The 17,990-nt window shown below is 37.2% G+C and overlaps 1 protein-coding gene and 1 long non-coding RNA gene across 4 annotated transcripts in view; both read left to right on the top strand.

Moving 5' to 3' along the window:
* Positions 1–17,990, top strand: part of MRPS27 (mitochondrial ribosomal protein S27) — a 100,838-nt gene that overhangs the window by 22,763 nt on the left and 60,085 nt on the right. For all 3 annotated transcript variants that reach the window (NM_001286751.2, NM_015084.3, NM_001286748.2), the window contains exon 4: positions 1,889–1,947. In NM_001286751.2, the coding sequence (NP_001273680.1) occupies positions 1,889–1,947 (59 nt within the window). The remainder of the gene's footprint in view (positions 1–1,888; positions 1,948–17,990) is intronic.
* LOC107986422 (uncharacterized) lies at positions 1,954–16,628 on the top strand. The gene is made up of 2 exons (XR_001742742.2): positions 1,954–6,528; positions 13,820–16,628. It is a non-coding gene; the product is annotated as an uncharacterized LOC107986422 (long non-coding RNA).

The following is a 17,990-nucleotide window of genomic DNA, read 5'->3' as shown; positions in this document are numbered from 1 at the left end:
ACTGTAATAGCAAATTTCTTTGGCTGAAATAAAAGTTAATACATTTACCAGATTCTGATATCAGTAATCAGTTTTGTGTATCTGATTTATTTTTTCCAGGATATGACATTCTGCTGTATGATACCATCAGTTTTTTTAAGTTGATACATCCTTCAAAGTAATGATATTTACCCGTTAGTATTGGAAGTGTTTTTGGTAGCCAAGAAAGTCTGTAAAAGAATGGATATTAATGTTAAAGTTAAACTGCAGCAGAGTGATGGGTGGAAGAATAATGTTAGGTTAGGAATCAGGAATAGTAACCATTACTGAGCACCTTCTATGCCAGTTTTGAATGTATTAGTTCCTTAACATACATTATTTTTTTAATTCTCACTGCTCCCTATGCAATAAACAGTCTATGTAAGACATGGTTTAATAACTTTCCCAAGTTCACACAGCTTGTAAGCGTGGAAAAACTGAGATTCAAACCCAGATATCTAGGTTCTCTTCTGTTGCCTGCTTCAAATATATCTGGGCTTGTCTTTAACATGAATTCACTTCATGACATTGGGCAATGAGATCCCTCTCAATTTTCTCATTTTCAGCATGGGTACGGTTGCATCTTCCTCCCAGGGAATAATGGGATGCTAAAATGAGATTTTAGCTGTGAAAACTTTTTACAGAAATTAATGGCACCATAAAATTTAAAATATTGTTAAATATGGAAGAGAGAGAGGAAAGAAATTACCTTTCTTTTGAATCCTGGTCCTTTCTTTCTGCCTTTTAGTTGAGAAATAATTTTACTGTTCGTAAGTTACATTTAATAGACTCATAATTGGCATATTGGAGGAGAATGGAAAGGCCATTTTTCGTCCCTTACATGATGGGTAAAACTTCTGTATGCCATAATACCTGGTATTTATTTAGGTAGTACTTCAAGGTTTACAGTTTTTATGTACATTTTCTCATTGGTGCCTTATACTCTTCGAGGCCAGTGCCTTTATCCTATTTATGCAGATGGAGCAACCAAGTCCCAGAGGGGCTATGCCATCTGTTTATGCCATACAGCAAACAATCAGAGCTGTTTCTCAAGCTCAGGTTCTGTGTTTGAACCACATTTTATATGCCCTTAATGGATTTCTAAGTCAAGTCCAGAAGTGCTAGGCATTTTTAGAAAGTCTCCCTCTTTTTACTCTCCTCTCTTTCTTTTATGAGGTTTTCATTATATTCACAACATGCATTGTCTTCTACGCTTTTTTTTTCTTTTTTGCCTCTGAGTCTCTATTTTAGAATAGAATCTGTGTTTGGAATAATCCTTTTTATTTGTTTATTTGGACCATAGTTAATGAGCATACTCAGAGATTTTATGGTTTGAAGGGAGAGTTTGTTGGTAAAGGAATCATAGGTTTACTGTTGCATAGCAGAGCTAAATCAAAGTAGAAAAAATCGTTGCAAGACTGAGTTCTCTAAATTTAGATGTTTATGTTCTGGGCAATAGTTTTTTAGCCATCAGAGTCTTCATTTTTTCAGCCATATGTTCCCATGTTTGGAACATAAAGAAAATAATATCAGGGTTTAAAGATAAAGGAAAAAATAGGTAACTAGTTATAATCAGTGGAACACTCTCCTTGTTCTGAGCAAGGTTCATGTTTGGCTTTCAATCCGTTTTCTGATCAAGGTTATTCTACACATAGAAAAAGAGAAGCCATTGTATATTCTTTGTTTGCATTAGCATAAAGGGGTTTCAAGGATGGAGCCATACCACGTGAACATTGTTCCACTAAGCATCACCATCGTTCCAATAAAATGGGTGTCCTGTGTTTTCTAAGGTCAATGTGTGATCTAGGCCCTAGGCCAAATATATGACATAATTTATATTCAACCAAAGGTTTCTTTTTCTGTCTTTTAGCTTATAGACAACATTTCCTCTCGGGAAGAGATAGATCATGCAGAGTATTACCTTTACAAGTAAGTTTTCCATTTGATTTGGCTATGTACTCTGTGATTTCACACCCCTTTTTTACATAAAAGTTGGTATATGTTGTGTATAATTTTGACACCTTCTAAGTTTATATTTTAAAGATCTTTTCATATGAGTATAGAGAGAGTTTCTGATTTTTTATAACTGCATTTTATTCCATACTGTGAGTTTATTATTTAAACCAGTTCCCTTTTTATGGACCTCTAGGTTGTTCTCTTTTTTGTATTGTATACGATGTTATAATTGATAACCTTGTACGTATGTAATTTTTCACCTAATTTTCATGAGTATATATATTTATAGTTTTAATCGCTATTGACAAATTGCTTTCTGTTGAAGTTTTTACATTCCCACTAGCAAGGTATGAGAGACATGTATTTTTACAGCTTGGCCAATAGTTAGGTATTTTCACATGTTTGCATTTTTTTGCCAATCTGATAGGTGAAAATTTATACACACACACACAAACACACACACACACAAGTTGAGTATCTCTTATCTAAGATGCTTGAAACCAGAAGTGTTTCAGATTTTGGATTTTTTTAGATTTTTGAATATTTGCATTATACTTACTGTTTGAGTACCTCTAATTCGAAAATCCACAATGCTTCAATGAGCATTTCCTTTGAACATCATGTTGGTGCTCAAAAAATTGTGGATTTTGGAACTTTTCAAATTAGAGATACTCAATCTGTATGTATATCTCTTCTCTCCTTTTTTTTTTTACAGGTGGAATTTTACCCGATGTGAACTGTTATGTACCTATTTTCAGTTAACACTGTTTTAAAACCTTTTCTACATTACCACATTTACTTCACTCTTTCTCACAGCTGCTAACAATTCCATTGTGAACTACCCACAAAACTCAGCCATGTGTACAAAAAGTATGTTCAGTGCAACATCATTTATGGTAGCAAAAGACTGAAACAACCTAATGCACATTAAATAAAGAACTGGTCAAACAAGTATCTGTCAGAATTGTACCTTACAACTAAATTTTTATTGCGATTTCAGTTTTAAAAATCTGATTTGTGATTTGTTCCAGTTCCTATGTTCCAAAAATAGACTCAGATTGAAATTTTAAATGTTTCCAGTAAGCATTGCATTAGAGTTTCCCATTTGATCTTGCTTGTTTTGATCAAGAGAATTTTTAGTTGTTTCTGTCTAGATGCATTTTTATTTTTTGTTGTTGTTGTTGTTGTTTTGGGGGGTTTTTTGGGGAGTAGTTTTTTTCTAGATGCATTTTTTAAAGCTTACTGTATTTTAGTGAAAATGTATTCGTTTTTCTCTGATTTTGCTAAATAATAATGAGGCTTTTTTTTTAATTTCTGAATTGGGTAGATGCTACCACTTTTTGGGTATTTTCTATTTAAATGTAAACCTCAAGTAGGCTAGATTCCACACCTTTAAAAAACATTTATTTTAAATCTCAGATTGGCTTTAACAATGTCCTAAGTTGAAATTTTAGGTCCTAACTTAGTTGCAAGTCATCTTAGTTGTGAGTGCCCTCTTGTACTTCATTAGGATAAAGATAAACGAACCCCTTGATGAGAGGTGGCCCTGCCTTCCTTTAGTGGCTCTTTGGGACTGTAGGGCTGCTTTGGTAGTTACTTTTTGTCTGTGATGAAGGGTGTATTTGGGCTGGCATCTGGCCAGTTCTCATATTTTTATTTATAGCAAAATGCAGAACATAGTTTCAATTTCTAAATATAAACTGTTTTTTAGAATTTCATCCTGTGAGATACAGTGCCATAGTGTTGGGAGAAGTATGTTCCAAATTCAGAAGTACTTCTGTAGCATCAAATTGATTTCAGTGACTCAGCATTTCAACAAGTATTTACCGAGCACCTATTATGTGCGCAGGCCCTTTCCTGGGTGCTGGATATCTAATGTTGAATAAGTTAGACATTCTCCAAGTATTACTGAAAAGTTGAAATTCTGTTTTTAAGACCTTCTATGATTAATTCTTCACATGATGTTCAGTTTTGTGTGGCCTGGGGTATAACTGAAAGTTTCATAAGATCACTACGTCCTATTTCCATATAGATCAAATAAAAGACTCTTGTCCATCATAAATCTGAGCCACTGTTTAATTGGACATCCCATTTTTTGCTTTAATCAAAACTAGTTCTTTAGCTATGATTTATCGTTTATCTTAGTTCTTTCTCCTCCCTTCCATTACCAAGAAAATTGACTCTCTTTTTATCAGCTTTTTTTTTTTTTAAGACAGAAATGTTTTTATGACTTCATGTGCTTGTATATATATGAGACTAGGTAGAACTCTACAAAGCTGCGTCGGAACAGTGGAGATTGGCTGGGTTCTCTCGTTAGCTAAGTGCCTCACTCTTGCTTTCCACCCTTAGAGAATATACAGAACATACTTATGCCTTAGCAAAATTAAAAATTACAAGTTATAAACTCTTGGGGTTTATCTCAAGTAATCAAAATCAGGGATGTTAATCCTGAAGACACCAAGGACTTACTGCTGTGTAATATTTCTACCAGTTAGGCCTTCAATCATTATGATGCCTAACATCTCCTCATGGGATGACTTTAGACATCTCGGAGCAAACTTACAATTCCAGGTCTAAGGTGAGGAAATGAAAAAGGAACTTCTTAATTTTATACAACTCACAGCTTGCAGGCCTGGGGTTAGGATTTCTCAGTCCTTAAGCAGTACCGTCTTTAACAGACAAGCCCACAGGAGAACTTTGGCATTGGTTCACCTCTTTCTCTGACATAACCTGTGAACACCAGGCTCTGCTAGCAGGAGTGTAGCTGCCACATCTTCTCCTCTTCTAGTGATCAAATTTCCGCAATTATTATGTAAAGTCTAGAGCCAAAGAAGTTTAGAAACCTTGAATGATCAGTGAAGAGCTGATTGAGCTTCTGCCATTGCATCAGGCACACAAGTAAACAGTTCCAAGTTCCAGCAGCTCAGGGTGCTGCTGGTACCTGCCAGCTTATTATCACCCTATCATCCCAGCAGAAGATTTCAAGTTTTGAATCTCTGAAAGTACATAGGCTTAAATGTTTAGGGACTTCAACATTAAAGGGATCTTTTAAGGAGAGATAGAAAGGCTGCTATTCAGACAGCAGGCAGGAGAACAAATTTCTAAGTACTTTTATTTGGGCCGTGGTCTATTCTCTGGGAGCTGGCAATCCTATGATCAACTTTTGCCTTCTATTTATAAATAAAAAATGAAAACACCAAGGAAAGGGTGAAGCTCTAACCAAAGAATAATGTGAACTAAAAATGATTAAGGCAATACCAGCAACTATATTCATTGGCCAAAAAAAAAAAAAAAAAAAAACTGGTAATACCCATATAAAAGGAAAATAAACCAAGAGTAAAAGTGATTAAAATAGCAACAAAGTTAAAACAAAGTAAAATAAACAAAATAAGGAAACAAGGCATACTGTTGGGCTGTGACAAATAAAGAAAACTTAAATAAGATAATAAAAAATAAATACAGTAAAATGAAATAAGGATTTGAGCCAGGGACTTTATACGATATGTATAGTTTAAGCCGGGAGGTTGGGAAAATAGGCATAGGTGTGCTCTTGCACAGATATTACTAGCAGGCTAAATGGTAAACCTCTTTATGAGTGGTTTTCAAGCTGTCTTCTGAGAAGCCCTGGAGCTAGTTTCTTATAGGCCCTCTAGGGCGTGGCTTGGGGGAAGAATAGGTCTGGAGATAGGCCAGACCATGCTGCCACAGGCCATTTGCTTTTGCTTCTGTTTCTGCCAGAGAAACTGTGCCTCCAGCTGCCTTATCGGTGTCTACAGAGAAAATTCAGAGAGGACTGTGAACTTGCATAAGAATAAAATTATATTTTTATTTTCACTAACCTCAATAATATTTAGCATTTCTTTCATTTATGAATGTAGGCAGCAGATGACTATAATATTAACAGCATCTGTGTCTTTCTTGCCAATAAAAATCATTGATTTTTTCATATCACATTACATTTGTTACAGATATCACTGCTTAGAAATTATGTTAGTAATTAAACCTACCGCTAGCTAGTGTTATTTCATGCATTAATAAAGCAGCACATATGTTACCATATCCCAAAGATTTCTTAATATCTTGATAATTGTATTTCAATATAATTGGTTTCTGTTGTAAGAAACTAATTCTGAGAAGCCTTCATCAGACTGCCAGAGGGTTCAAGACAAAAAATTGTTAGGAACCCTGCTGTGAGATCTTGTTTGAAAAATAGGTTCTTTTGCTTAGACTTATTTTTATTTCTTCCCTTAGGTTTTTTGGGTTTTAAATACTCTGGGTCTTTGTTTTCTCTTCTTACAAAGAAGACTTTCTTAGTTTAGACCTTACCAAGTAAGACAAGCATATAATTGATGGGTTTTCTGTCTTCACAATGAAAATTTAGATACAGCCAGTCTCCCAAGTTTCCCTACAGCACCGGAAAAAAGGTGTGGTGAGGAGTGAGAAGATTTGGACAGGCCCTGAGATGCTACCTGTCAGGAGACCAGCGCTGGCAGGGTGCTAGACAGGAGCATTTCCGCTTTATTTTGATATCACCATCACCCAGTCCTTGGTGAGGTAAGAAGTCATGCTCTTTCCCAGTGGTAGCAGCAAAGGTTCTGTGACGCAGAAAAGAGAGGTAACAGAACAGCTCAGCTAACAGCTGCTGACAGGAAATGTCTGTTCAGTGGGCATAAAAAGACTGCATTTATTTTTTATATTTGTTTAAAAGAATTTTTATATCCCATGTTAATTTTAAAAACAGTTAGGCAAAATACTTTCTTTTTCTGGGCAAAGGATTAATTTCTACTTCCTATCCACACGCCCTCTTGTTAATATTTGGAAGAGAAAAGGGTTCCTACCTTTGCTTTACTATAAACTTAGAGCATTCCTAAGAATTAGATTTGCATCTTTATTTTACTGATGCAGAGACTAAAACATAGAGATTGGCTGAGCACACCCAACATAGAGACTTAAGTATAAGCCACTGCCTGTCCTGAGAGAGAAACCACAAGGATCAGATGTGAGCAGTGGGGCAATGCTATAAAAACAATGCAGTGCTGTCTCAGTGCAAGGTTTATTGTTAAGGATCGCAGATGGGGCTACAATTTCTTTATAGGAAACTAAGGCAGAAGAAATTCCAGAGAGACCAGGCTTAGCTGTTCCTCTATAAGAGATCCCCTTTTAAAAGGGATCTGTCTGCCTGGAGTCAGTTATGGTGAGTGTATGTAGAGTTTTATACAATGGGAACTTTTTCCTTTTTCATCTTGTAGAGAGCATCTTTCCTGGGCCACCTAGTCTGTAGTTCTGAGCTTTCCCCCCATAACCTCCAAGTCCACATGCCCAATGTATACTGCCCAAATGCAGACAAGTGAACCTTGGGGCGGGCTCTATGTCTCTATTTTCAGGAGATAAAACAGCATGTTACTGGTAAAATTGTGCCATTGGCAAAAACCATTATTTTCATGGTTATGACAAGCTTTAACCATTCTTGTGTTAGTATTTGATTACTGCATTGCTAAAATGCAAACTCAAGCCATAAAAATTTCCTCTTTCCACTTAGTGTCCTCATCTTCACTGAGGATATTTGCAAATTGCATTTTTAAAGGCTTACATAGGCCTTCGAATCATGTTGGGACCATGGTAGTTTAGAGATGTATGAAATTAAACTTGCTCCTTCTACTATCCGGGTGTCAATAATCAGAACTGATAATTTGATCTGCAACGTAACAGTCATTCCTGAAGGATAAGTCATAGAAATTTCTAACATATATAACATATACTCCTTATATTAAGGATGTAAATTTTTTTTTAGGCCAGGCACAGCGGCTCATGCCTGTAATCCCAGCACTTGGGGCAGACGGATTGCTTGAGCACAGGGGTTTAATACCAGCCTGGGCAACATAACAAACCTTATCTCTATAAAAAGATACAAAAAATTAGCCGGGTGTGGTGGTGCACACCTGTAGTCCCAACTACCTGGGAGACTGAGGTGGGAAGATCACCTGAGCTTGGGAGGTCGAGGCTGCAGTGAACCGAGGTCATACCACTGTACTCCAGCGTAGGTGACAGAGTGAGACCCCTGTCTCAAAAAAAAAAAAGAATATAGCATTCTTTTAAAGCAGCCTTTTAGTTTTTAGCAAACATGTAGGGAATGCTGAATTGTTATACAATAAGAAAAGACTGTTGCAAAGCTCAGTGGAAGATGAGTTTTTCTCAGAATACAGCTCTCAGTGTTGCTATGGAGAGTGGCATGCCACCCAGTAAGAAAGGAAGTTCAGATTGCGTGGCAAGCTGTGTACTGCCAACACATTCATCCATGCTGTACGTGGGTCTCAAGTATCTTTCACTATTTGCTTAGCCAACCTGGCAGATCCCAGGTATCCCTGGTTGGAGATGGATAGCAGGTCAGGAACAGCTGGGCCAAGGCAGATGGCAGCCTGCATGTCTCCAGGTCCTGGGTTGGCAGCCAGCCTAAAAAGGAAGGACCAAAATAGCTTCATTTTTCATGAAGCAAAAATACCCAATGGTTCCTTGGAAGGCTATAGCACCACCCCAGGCCTATGTTGTAAAAATCCATTTCTGCCTGTAGGAAAAGGGGAAGGTGGGAGTTTATTAAGAGGGATTATTAAGAGGGAACAGCATGCATTCGTTTACGCAGCAGTAATTTTCCTTTGAGGGCGTAGAGACTTTGTGTTTCACAGCAATAAAAGGTAATCTTAAATTTTTCTGTTAGCATATTGCCAGGTCGCATTATGCCTGAACATTATTAAGAAAAGAGTAAGAACCCAAGGGGAGAGAAATGAGTCTGAGAGCATTTTTTAGTAGCACTTCTATACTTTAATATTGCCTAGTTCTTTATTTAGTTCTTATTTGCTGATCCTTACCACAGGCCTGGGAGATTGCTTATTATTGTTAATAGCTCTGTACTGGAAAATAGCAGATCGTTGGTCATAGTGCATGCATTGCCAGAGATCATGGGAGCTTTGTGATAAGGATTAGAATTCTTGGCCTCCATGGCCGGGCGCAGTGGCTCACGCCTGTAATCCCAGCACTTTGGGAGCCGAGGCGGGCAGATCACGAGGTCAGGAGATCGAGACCATCCTTGCTAACACAGTGAAACCCCGTCTTTGCTAAAAATACAAAAACAAAATTAGCTGGGCATGGTGGTGGGCGCCTGTAGACCCAGCTACATGGGAGGCTAAGGCGGGAGAACGGCATGAACCCAGGAGGCGGAGCTTGCAGTGAGCCGAGATCATGCCATTGCACTCCAGCCTGGGCGACAGAGCAAGACTCCATCTCAAAAAAAAAAAAAAAGAATTCTTGCCCTCCACTGCTTCAGACTCTACTTCTCTTCCCACTGGTCTTATTATTTCATCTGGAGCCTCATCATAGGAAGAGTGAACCTTCAAGGTATTTTTTTGGCTTTGGCTTAAGCATTCCACCTAGCTTTCCCAGAATGATCTCATACCTTAGATGGTTATTCCATTTTATTCCTCTGGTGTGCTAACTATGTACCTCTGCAGACTCCAGTCCTGAGTCCCTAGGAGTATGTGCTGCTGCAGACATCCATGCACAAGTCTTTGTATAGATGCGTGCTTTCATTTCTGTGGGATAAATAGCTAGGGGTAGAATGATTGGAGCATATGGTAAGTAAATGTTTAACTTTTTAAGAAACTACCAAATTGTTTTCTGAAGTGATTATACCATTTATAGTCCCAACAGCAGTTCCGCTTCCTCCACATTTGTGCCAACACATTTAGCCATACCAACATGTGTTTAGTGGTATCTTATTGTGGCTTTAATTATTTGCCCAATGAGTAATGATATTTCCTTTGGTAAAGTGTTCGAATCTTTTGTCAATTTTTTTTGTTTGTTTGTTTGTTTTTTATTGAGATGGAGTCTCTGTCATGCAGGCTGGAGTGCGGTAGCACGATCTTGGCTCACTGCAGCCTCCACCTCCCAAGTTCAAGCAATTCTCCTGCCTCAGCCTCCCAAGTAGCTGGGATTACAGGCAGTTGCCACCACGCCTGGCTAATTTTTGTGTTTTTGTAGAGATAGGGTTTCACCATGTTGGCAAGGCCGGTCTTGAACTCCTGACCTCAGGTGATCTGCCTACCTCGGCCTCCCAAAGTGCTGGGATTACAGGCATGAGCCACCATACCCAACCTGTTTTTATTTTTTATGTAAGTCCAATTTATCAACTTTTTTTTTTTAATGGATTGTGCTTTTGGTGTTCTCTAAGGTAGGGGTCACCAACCTTTTTGGCACCAGGGACTGGTTTTGTGGAAGACAGTTTTTCCACAGCTGGGGGTTGGTGTTGGGGATGGTTTGGGGATGAAACTGTTCCATCTCAGATCATCAGGCATTAGTTAGATTCTCATAAGGAGCATGCAACCTAGATCCCTTGCAAAGGGAGGGTTCCTGCTCCTATGAGAATCTAATACCACCACTGATCTGACAGGAGGTGGAGCTCAGGCGGTAATGCTCACCCACCCACCGCTCACCTCCTACTGTGCCGCCCAGTTCCTAACAGACTGGTACCAATCCACAGCCTGGGGGTTGGAGACCCCATATCTAAGGAATCTGCTTAACCCAGCACCACACGGATTCTTCTTCTAGATTTTGTTTTAGAAGTTTTGTAGTTTTAGGTTTTATAATTAGGTCTATGATCGGCTTTATTTTGGTATCACCATCACCCAGTGCTTGTTGAGGTGAAAAGCCATACTATTTCCCAGCAGTAGCAGCAAAGGTTCTGTGACACAGAAAAGAGAGGTAAGAGGACAGCTCAGCTAACAGCAGCTGACAGGAAAGGTCTATTCAGTGGGCATAAAAAGACTGCATTTATTTTTTATATTTGTTTAAAAGAATTTTTATATCCCATGTTAATTTTAAAAACGGTTGAGCAAAATACTTTCTTTCCCTACAGATTTATGATTTTGAATTTTTTTTTGTGTGTATGTTATAAGGTAAAGATCAAAGCTAATTTTTTGACATAAGAATGCCTAATTGTGTCAGCACCACTTGTTGAAAAGGCTATTTTTAAATTGCCTTTGTACCTTTGTTGATAATTAGTTTATATTTGTGTGAGTCTATTTCTGGACTTCTTTGTTCCATTGATCTCTGTTCTATTATCTATTTTAATGCCAATACTACTCTGTCTTGATGACTGTAGTTTTTAAATAAGTCTTAAAATTAGGTAGTGTAAGCCCTTCAACTTTTGCATGTTCTTTTTCAAAATTATTTTGGCTAGTGTCGGTCCTTTCCATTCCGTATCAATTTTAGAATCACCTCTTGTATATGTGTGTGTGTATACACACATACATATTTAGGTATATACACACACGCACATGCATTATTAATATAGAGACATTAGGAACAATATCAATTCAAGAAATACATATTGAATGTATAGTATATATTTAGGAACTAACAAAGAAGATTATAAGGAATATGAGGGAAGAGACTGATTTTGCAAAAGTCATTCTTTTTCCATTGCGGGAAAATTTAAACTGCCCTAACAGGATTTGAGATGGAAATAAATGAGGACGGATTCGTGTCTGTAAGACAAATGATTTTCAGCTCTGTTTATACGGGAAATTTTAAAGCCAGTAGAGGCTTTGAGAGTATTTTTTAATGCACTAAAACTGTGGTATATTCAAAGGAAGGATATTATATAATCCCAACAATAAAAAAATATTACAACTAGGTGCAGTGGCTCATGCCTGTAATCTCAACACTTTGGTTGACTGAGGTGGAAAGATCCCTTGAAGTCAGGAGTTTGAGATCAGCCTGAGCAACATAGTGAGACTCCGTTTCTACAAAAATGTTTTTAAAGATTAGCTGGTCATGGTGGTGTGTGCCTATAGTCCTAGCAACTCAGGAAGCTAAGGCTGGGCCTTGTTGTCCTAACTACTTAGGAGGCTGATTCCAGAAGTTCAAGGCTACAATGAGCTATGATCGAGCCACTGCACTCCAGCCTGAGTACTAGAGCAAGACCCTGTCCCCCTCCCAAAAAAAGATTATTAGATGGTTGAAGATCATTAGATACGTGAAACAATTCAAAATCAACACAAATCCAGGATATGATAAGTAGATAAATTTACTGAATTTATGTAACAAAATGTAAGTTTTAGAGAAAACATGTTTTGAGCAGGCTAGAAGAAGGATTGATGTTGTTATCAGCAAACATTTATAAAAGAGGTAGAACTTAAGATAGCCTTGAAGGTTAGATGAGTAGAGGAAACAGGAGCAAGTGTTCAAGATGGAACAAATCGTACAGCTGGAGTTAGAAGGAGGAAGTGAGAACTAGCTTTATGGAAACTGCCTTAACCAGAGAGATCAGGGTTTGTTGGGGAATAATGAGAAATAAGGAAGGCAGATTAGAGAGGGAATAGAATGTTGGCAGGAGAGAAGGGAGGGTTCAAAATCTGTCATTATCATACATTGCTAGTGGATATATAAATCGGTACAACTTGTATAGATAGAACTTTGGCAGCATCTGTCAAAATTATAAGTACAATACCCTCTGGCCCAATAATTCCACCTCTAGGAATTTAACCTCCTGATACACTCATATTCATGCCAAAAATGTCCATTGCAAAAAGTAAAAGATTACGTCCATCAATAGAAGCCTGTTTAATTATTCTACAGCTGTACAGTGGAATACTGTGCAGTGATTGAAAAGAATGAGGAAGCTTTATTTGTATTTCCTATTGAATAAATTGTGAAATGTATTAAGTGAAAAAAACAAGAGTAGGACTTAGTGTGTGATGTAGCCACTGTGGTTTATGTGTAATATGTATACATGTGCTTTGATGCTTATGTGTATATATGTATGTGTGTACATAAAATATCTCTGGAATGATACACACAAAAACTGGTAACATTGGTTTCTTTTAGGGAAGAAACCTGGATGACTTCTCATTGAATTGTCTCTTGTAACTTTTGAATTTTATATCATGGGTGTATATTACTTATTCAAAAAATACATATTTTTCATTTCTTCCCTTCCCTTCCCTCCCCCCTTCTCTTTTTCCATCTCTCTCTCTCACACACACACACAGAAGGAAATTAACCAAATTTTTTTTTTTTTTTTAATTTAAAGACAGGGTCTCACTCTGTTGCCCAGGCTGGCATGCAGTGGCAGGATCTTAGCTCACTGTACCCTCAACTTCCCAGGCTCAGGCAATTGTCCTACCTCAGCCTCCCAGGTAGCTAGGACTTTAGGCGTATGCCACCATGCCTGGCCTTTTTGGTGGTGTTTTTTTTTTTTTTTTTAGAGATGGGGTCTCACAATGTTGCCCAGGCTGGTCTTGAACTCCTGGACTCAAGCAATCCACCTGCCTCGGCCTCCCAAAGTGCTGGGATTATAGGCATGAGCCACCACACCTAGCCTGAAAAAATATTTTTTAAAAGATCCTCAAGATAGTCATCTGCAGATTCTTAAGAAGTATATATCATAATAAAAGTATTTCAGAAAGATTTATAACAGGGTAAATTTTTTATTAAAATTGGTAAATGTTATAAGGAAATTGTCTATGCATATAGAGAAAAAAGACCTGTCCTGTGGTAGTAGACAGTGGAAATAAAGAGAGAAATGTACATAGGAGGGAAAAAATTGGATCAGCAGGATTAATGGCAGGTTGAATGTAGAGACAGAAAACAAGGAGAGTCAAAAATGAACTGAAAATTGAACCTCAGTGGGAAAGTGGCTTGTACATGATAGAAGTATTGAATTGGAAGCAGATTTAGAAGGCAGCAAGAGGGTGAGTTTTTCTTTTGCCTTTTTTTTTTGTACGTACACATTTCTTTCTAAGCTTGCTGGATCATATCTTGCCTACTTGACCATACTTGGACTGTTTGACAGGAACTGGCCACAGACCTTTGGAGAAAGAACAATTGCCAAAACATACCCATTGGGTCTTCCTGGTGTATTGGCACTAGTTGGAAAATTTTAGACCAGATGACCTCTGAAGTCCTGCCAACTTCCGGAATCTGAAATTGCAACCTGGATAGACTAAGTGAGTCCCTTGGAGCCATGTGACAAGTCCAAGCTCCAGCTGTGGATGAGGCCTGACTTCAAGTTCAGAAGCTCATCAGCTAGCCCAGTGTATCTCTTTGTGTCAGTTTTTTTTCCTAAGCAGTTTCAGTAATATACCAAAAGATACAGACTCAATGAACATTTTGAAACCTCCTAACAGTGTGACATAGAATTAATTAAACCTAGAAAAAAATTAACATAAAAAGAAATTCAACAATGAAAATGTATTATCTTGTGGGGGAGGTACTAAAAAGACCCTGAAGGAGTCAGGATGGGAAGAAAGAGGTGACTGGGGTCTTAGGACCAGTTTAGTCCCCACTTTGATCTGTAGCTTTGAACTAGTTAGTGAACTCTCTGGACATCAGCTTTCTAGATGAGCAGATCATCTTGGATGCCTCCCAAGGCACTTCCCATAGCTAAAACATAATGTTTCTTAATGTCACTGATAAGATTTTATCACCAGATGCCTCAGACTTTGAAAGCATGTAGCTCTGGCTTTTTGTTTAGTTTCTCACGCAGAATTTTATTCACTTTAAAATTGAAGTTCCAGCCGCCTTAACTATGAATATCAAGAGAAAAACTAATAGATGTAAAAGTAAACAACAGAAAGGGTAGAAGATCTCTTATTCTCTTCTGGATTTAGGTGACAGACTTCATTTACTATCTTGTTTGTGAATATATTTAGTAAATTTTGTGGTATGAGAAGTTGGGTATCCACTCTTATTTATCCTCTAGGTAACTAATTTTTATACATATGTACTTGCCTTTTTCCTGCAAGGCCCACAAACCACATGTTTTTGATGCCTTGTATATACATGAGATTTAAAAGGAGAAGGCTAAAGTAAATCTGTTCTAATAGCTACAGAACCATTTGTAAATTAAACCTTAAACTCCTAAAATTTCACATAAGAATATGTATCCAAGTTCTTTTTTTTCTACAGTATAAACCCCTTTTATTGAAAAATATTTCTCCTGCCTATTTTTATAATTGTAAAGTCAAATTAAGGTACCAGGAATTATAGCTACAGGGCAATGAGAAAGGCATAACTAAAATATAGTTTTATATTTATTATATAAACCCTACTTCAGTAGGGTTTTAAGTGTAACGCAGTTTGATTTGAAAATAATTAAGAGATCGTTTCAGAAACTGGTATAATATTTAAGGGAGAGCTGAGTAGATAAACAGAAGCTTCAAGGAGAGATTTATGGGAACAGAAGTTTCAGTTGATTGCATCATGGTTTTTGAGGCCAAAGGCAAATAAATTCCTGAGTATTTCCAGATGCTGTGTGTCTAGGCAAGAGGACATCTGAGGAGCTAGAAGTATTTGATGTGAATTCTGTTTAGTGGTCTAGGCTGCTTTCATTTTCATGATAGATTTCCAGGTATGTTTGTTTTGAACAGGCAGATTTTACATTTTGAGGTCTATTCTGTTTTTTTAATAGCAATGCTGATTTTAAGACAAATAGTATCACCATTTTATACCTAGTAATAGGCAAAGCTGGGACTTAAAACTAGGTCTTCCAACACCAGATCATTACAGCACATGAACAGTGTATTCATTATGCACTGGCTGTTACATAGTTCAGTGATGGACACTACCAAGAGGTGAAACTCAATCATTAGTCTTCATTGGTAAAAATCTTGGCAGAGTTTTGATAAGTCAAACACTGAAATTATGTGTTCAAGTGAGAACTTTGTGCATCTCATACGTATAGATTAGTATAGTCCTCCATTTGCTGAATAATAGCAGGTAATAACAGACTTACACACTTACACAGTGCTTTCAGACTCCAGTTGGAATGGACTACTGTTCTCTGAATGTGCCTTCTACTTTCATATCTTGCCTATGCTCTTCCCTCCCCACTGTCTCTTTCTAACAGAATACAGCCTGTGTTTTAAGGCCTGTCCCAAATTCTGCTACACTCATAAACTTACCCTGATTTTCACGGTTGAATGTGATCTCTCTGACCCATCTATAAAATTTTGTTTTACCTATTCAGGGGTGCTTACTTATTTTGTTTTGTCTTCTGTCAAAAATATTTCTTTCTTTCTCTTTACCTGAGACACAGTATAGTATAGTAGACAAGAGTATGGACTTGAGCCAGAGTGCCTGGATTTGAATGTCGAATGTGCCATCCATTTCCTCCCTCATAAAATGAGTGTTAAAATAGTGCCTGTGCTTTAGGGTATTTATGAGACTCCAAGAAATTGATAACGTTATAATGCCCTTAGAACAGTCTTGGGACAAAGAAGGTCAGTGCTCAATAAAATTTAGCTTTAATGTTGACTATACTAGATTGTAACATCGGGAGAAGCAAGGAGTATTTATTTCCCATACTTCTCTCTTATGGGAAAATGTATTTGATTTCTGGTTTAGGTTTCCCTAACCATCCGCACCACCCCTGCCCCAAGGGCATCAAGGTGTAAGGGCCATCAAGGCTCAGGAATGTGGAGAAGTAGATGCTTAGGAACACTAGTAGTTCAACACACATTTAGAAAGGATATCACATTTTGGGGGAAGCTTCCTGACCCTAAAAGACAGCAAATCAAATCTGTCATACGTGTACCCGTATTGCTAAGCTTACAGCCACAAACCAGAAGGGGGCAACAGATCTGCTTACTATCTGTGAAGAAGGGAGAAGAAGCCTCAAGAAAATGATTCCCAGTTAGGAAAAAACTGCACCATAACTGATCTCTGATAAGATGTTATTGAATCAATAATCAAAATACAGATTAGACACAAAAAGAGAGGTCTGTTCTGTGGGCTGGGAGCATGTAAGCAATTGAAATAGAAATTGTGGAACTGCTTCCAGAGATTTTAGTTTTGATATCTGGCATGCACAAGAGCAGCTCAGAATGGCTAAAGTTGTTTAATGTTGTCAGCATTCCCCACTTTTATTTTATTGGTTTTTTTAGAAGCTGTGCAAGAGTTTCTATTTGTAGAGCTGATTCTTATATAGAAAACTGGGCTGCTGTGCAGCCTTGCAGGTTAGAATGAAATATACATTTTTTTCATATTTTTAAAATCATTTCTTGTTTATGGAAAAAGTAATTACATATTCTTTTTTTAAAAAAAATACTTATAAAGGAAAAATCACTTGTTTTTAGTGTGTTTCTTGCCAGTCTTTTAAGTATATCTTTCCATTTTATTTGTTTTAAACTATTAAACAGTAAGTGTCACATTTCATCTATAAATTCAGTGCAATTCCAACCAAAATCTCAGCAGAAATTTTTGGGGAACCTGAGAAGATGACCCTGAAATTCAAGTGAAAGAATAAAACCAAGAATAGCTAAGACAGTTTTAAGAAGACTAACATAAAATGATTGGTCCACAAGATAGACAACAAGACTTATTAGAAAGCTACAAAAAATACAAATGAAGATAATGGCTTAGATGTAGACAAATAGACTAGTGGAGCAGAATAGAGAGAACCCAGAAATGTATCTACATATCTGGAAACCTGAGATATTTTTTACATCAAAGGGCGAAGAATGGATTAGTTAATAAATGCTACTTAGACAATCGATAATCTAACAATTATATGGGAAAATTCTTCATTCTTACTTCAAAATATATGAACATACTCACACACATTTTTTTTAGGTAGATTAAAAACCGAAATGGAAAAAGCAAAACTTTTAGAAGGAAATATAGGAGAATATTAATAGTAGTATAACACTGGGGACACTGAAGGATTTGTTTTTTTTTGAACAAGACACAAAAAACATAACAAAAGATTGATAAATTTTTTTGTTTTGTTTTATTACTAAGTGATAATTGTTTTTGGGGTTTTGTTTTTGTTTTATTTTGTTTTGTTTTGTTTTGTTGTCTTCCATGATTCAGAATGGTTTTTGTTGTTGTTGTTATTTAATGCTTGTTGTGTGTTTTTTAAGAGACAGGGTCTCGCTGTGTTGCTCAGGCTGGTCTCAAACTCCTGTCCTCAAGCAATCCTCCCATCTTCGCCTCCTAAATGGCTAGGATTATAGGCGTGAGCC

Source organism: Homo sapiens, chromosome 5 (assembly GCF_000001405.40).
Source record: "Homo sapiens chromosome 5, GRCh38.p14 Primary Assembly".
In the NCBI taxonomy this organism is placed as follows: domain Eukaryota; kingdom Metazoa; phylum Chordata; class Mammalia; order Primates; family Hominidae; genus Homo; species Homo sapiens.
The sequence above is the reverse complement of the archived record's forward strand: the minus strand, read 5'-3'. Positions and strand labels throughout refer to the sequence as shown.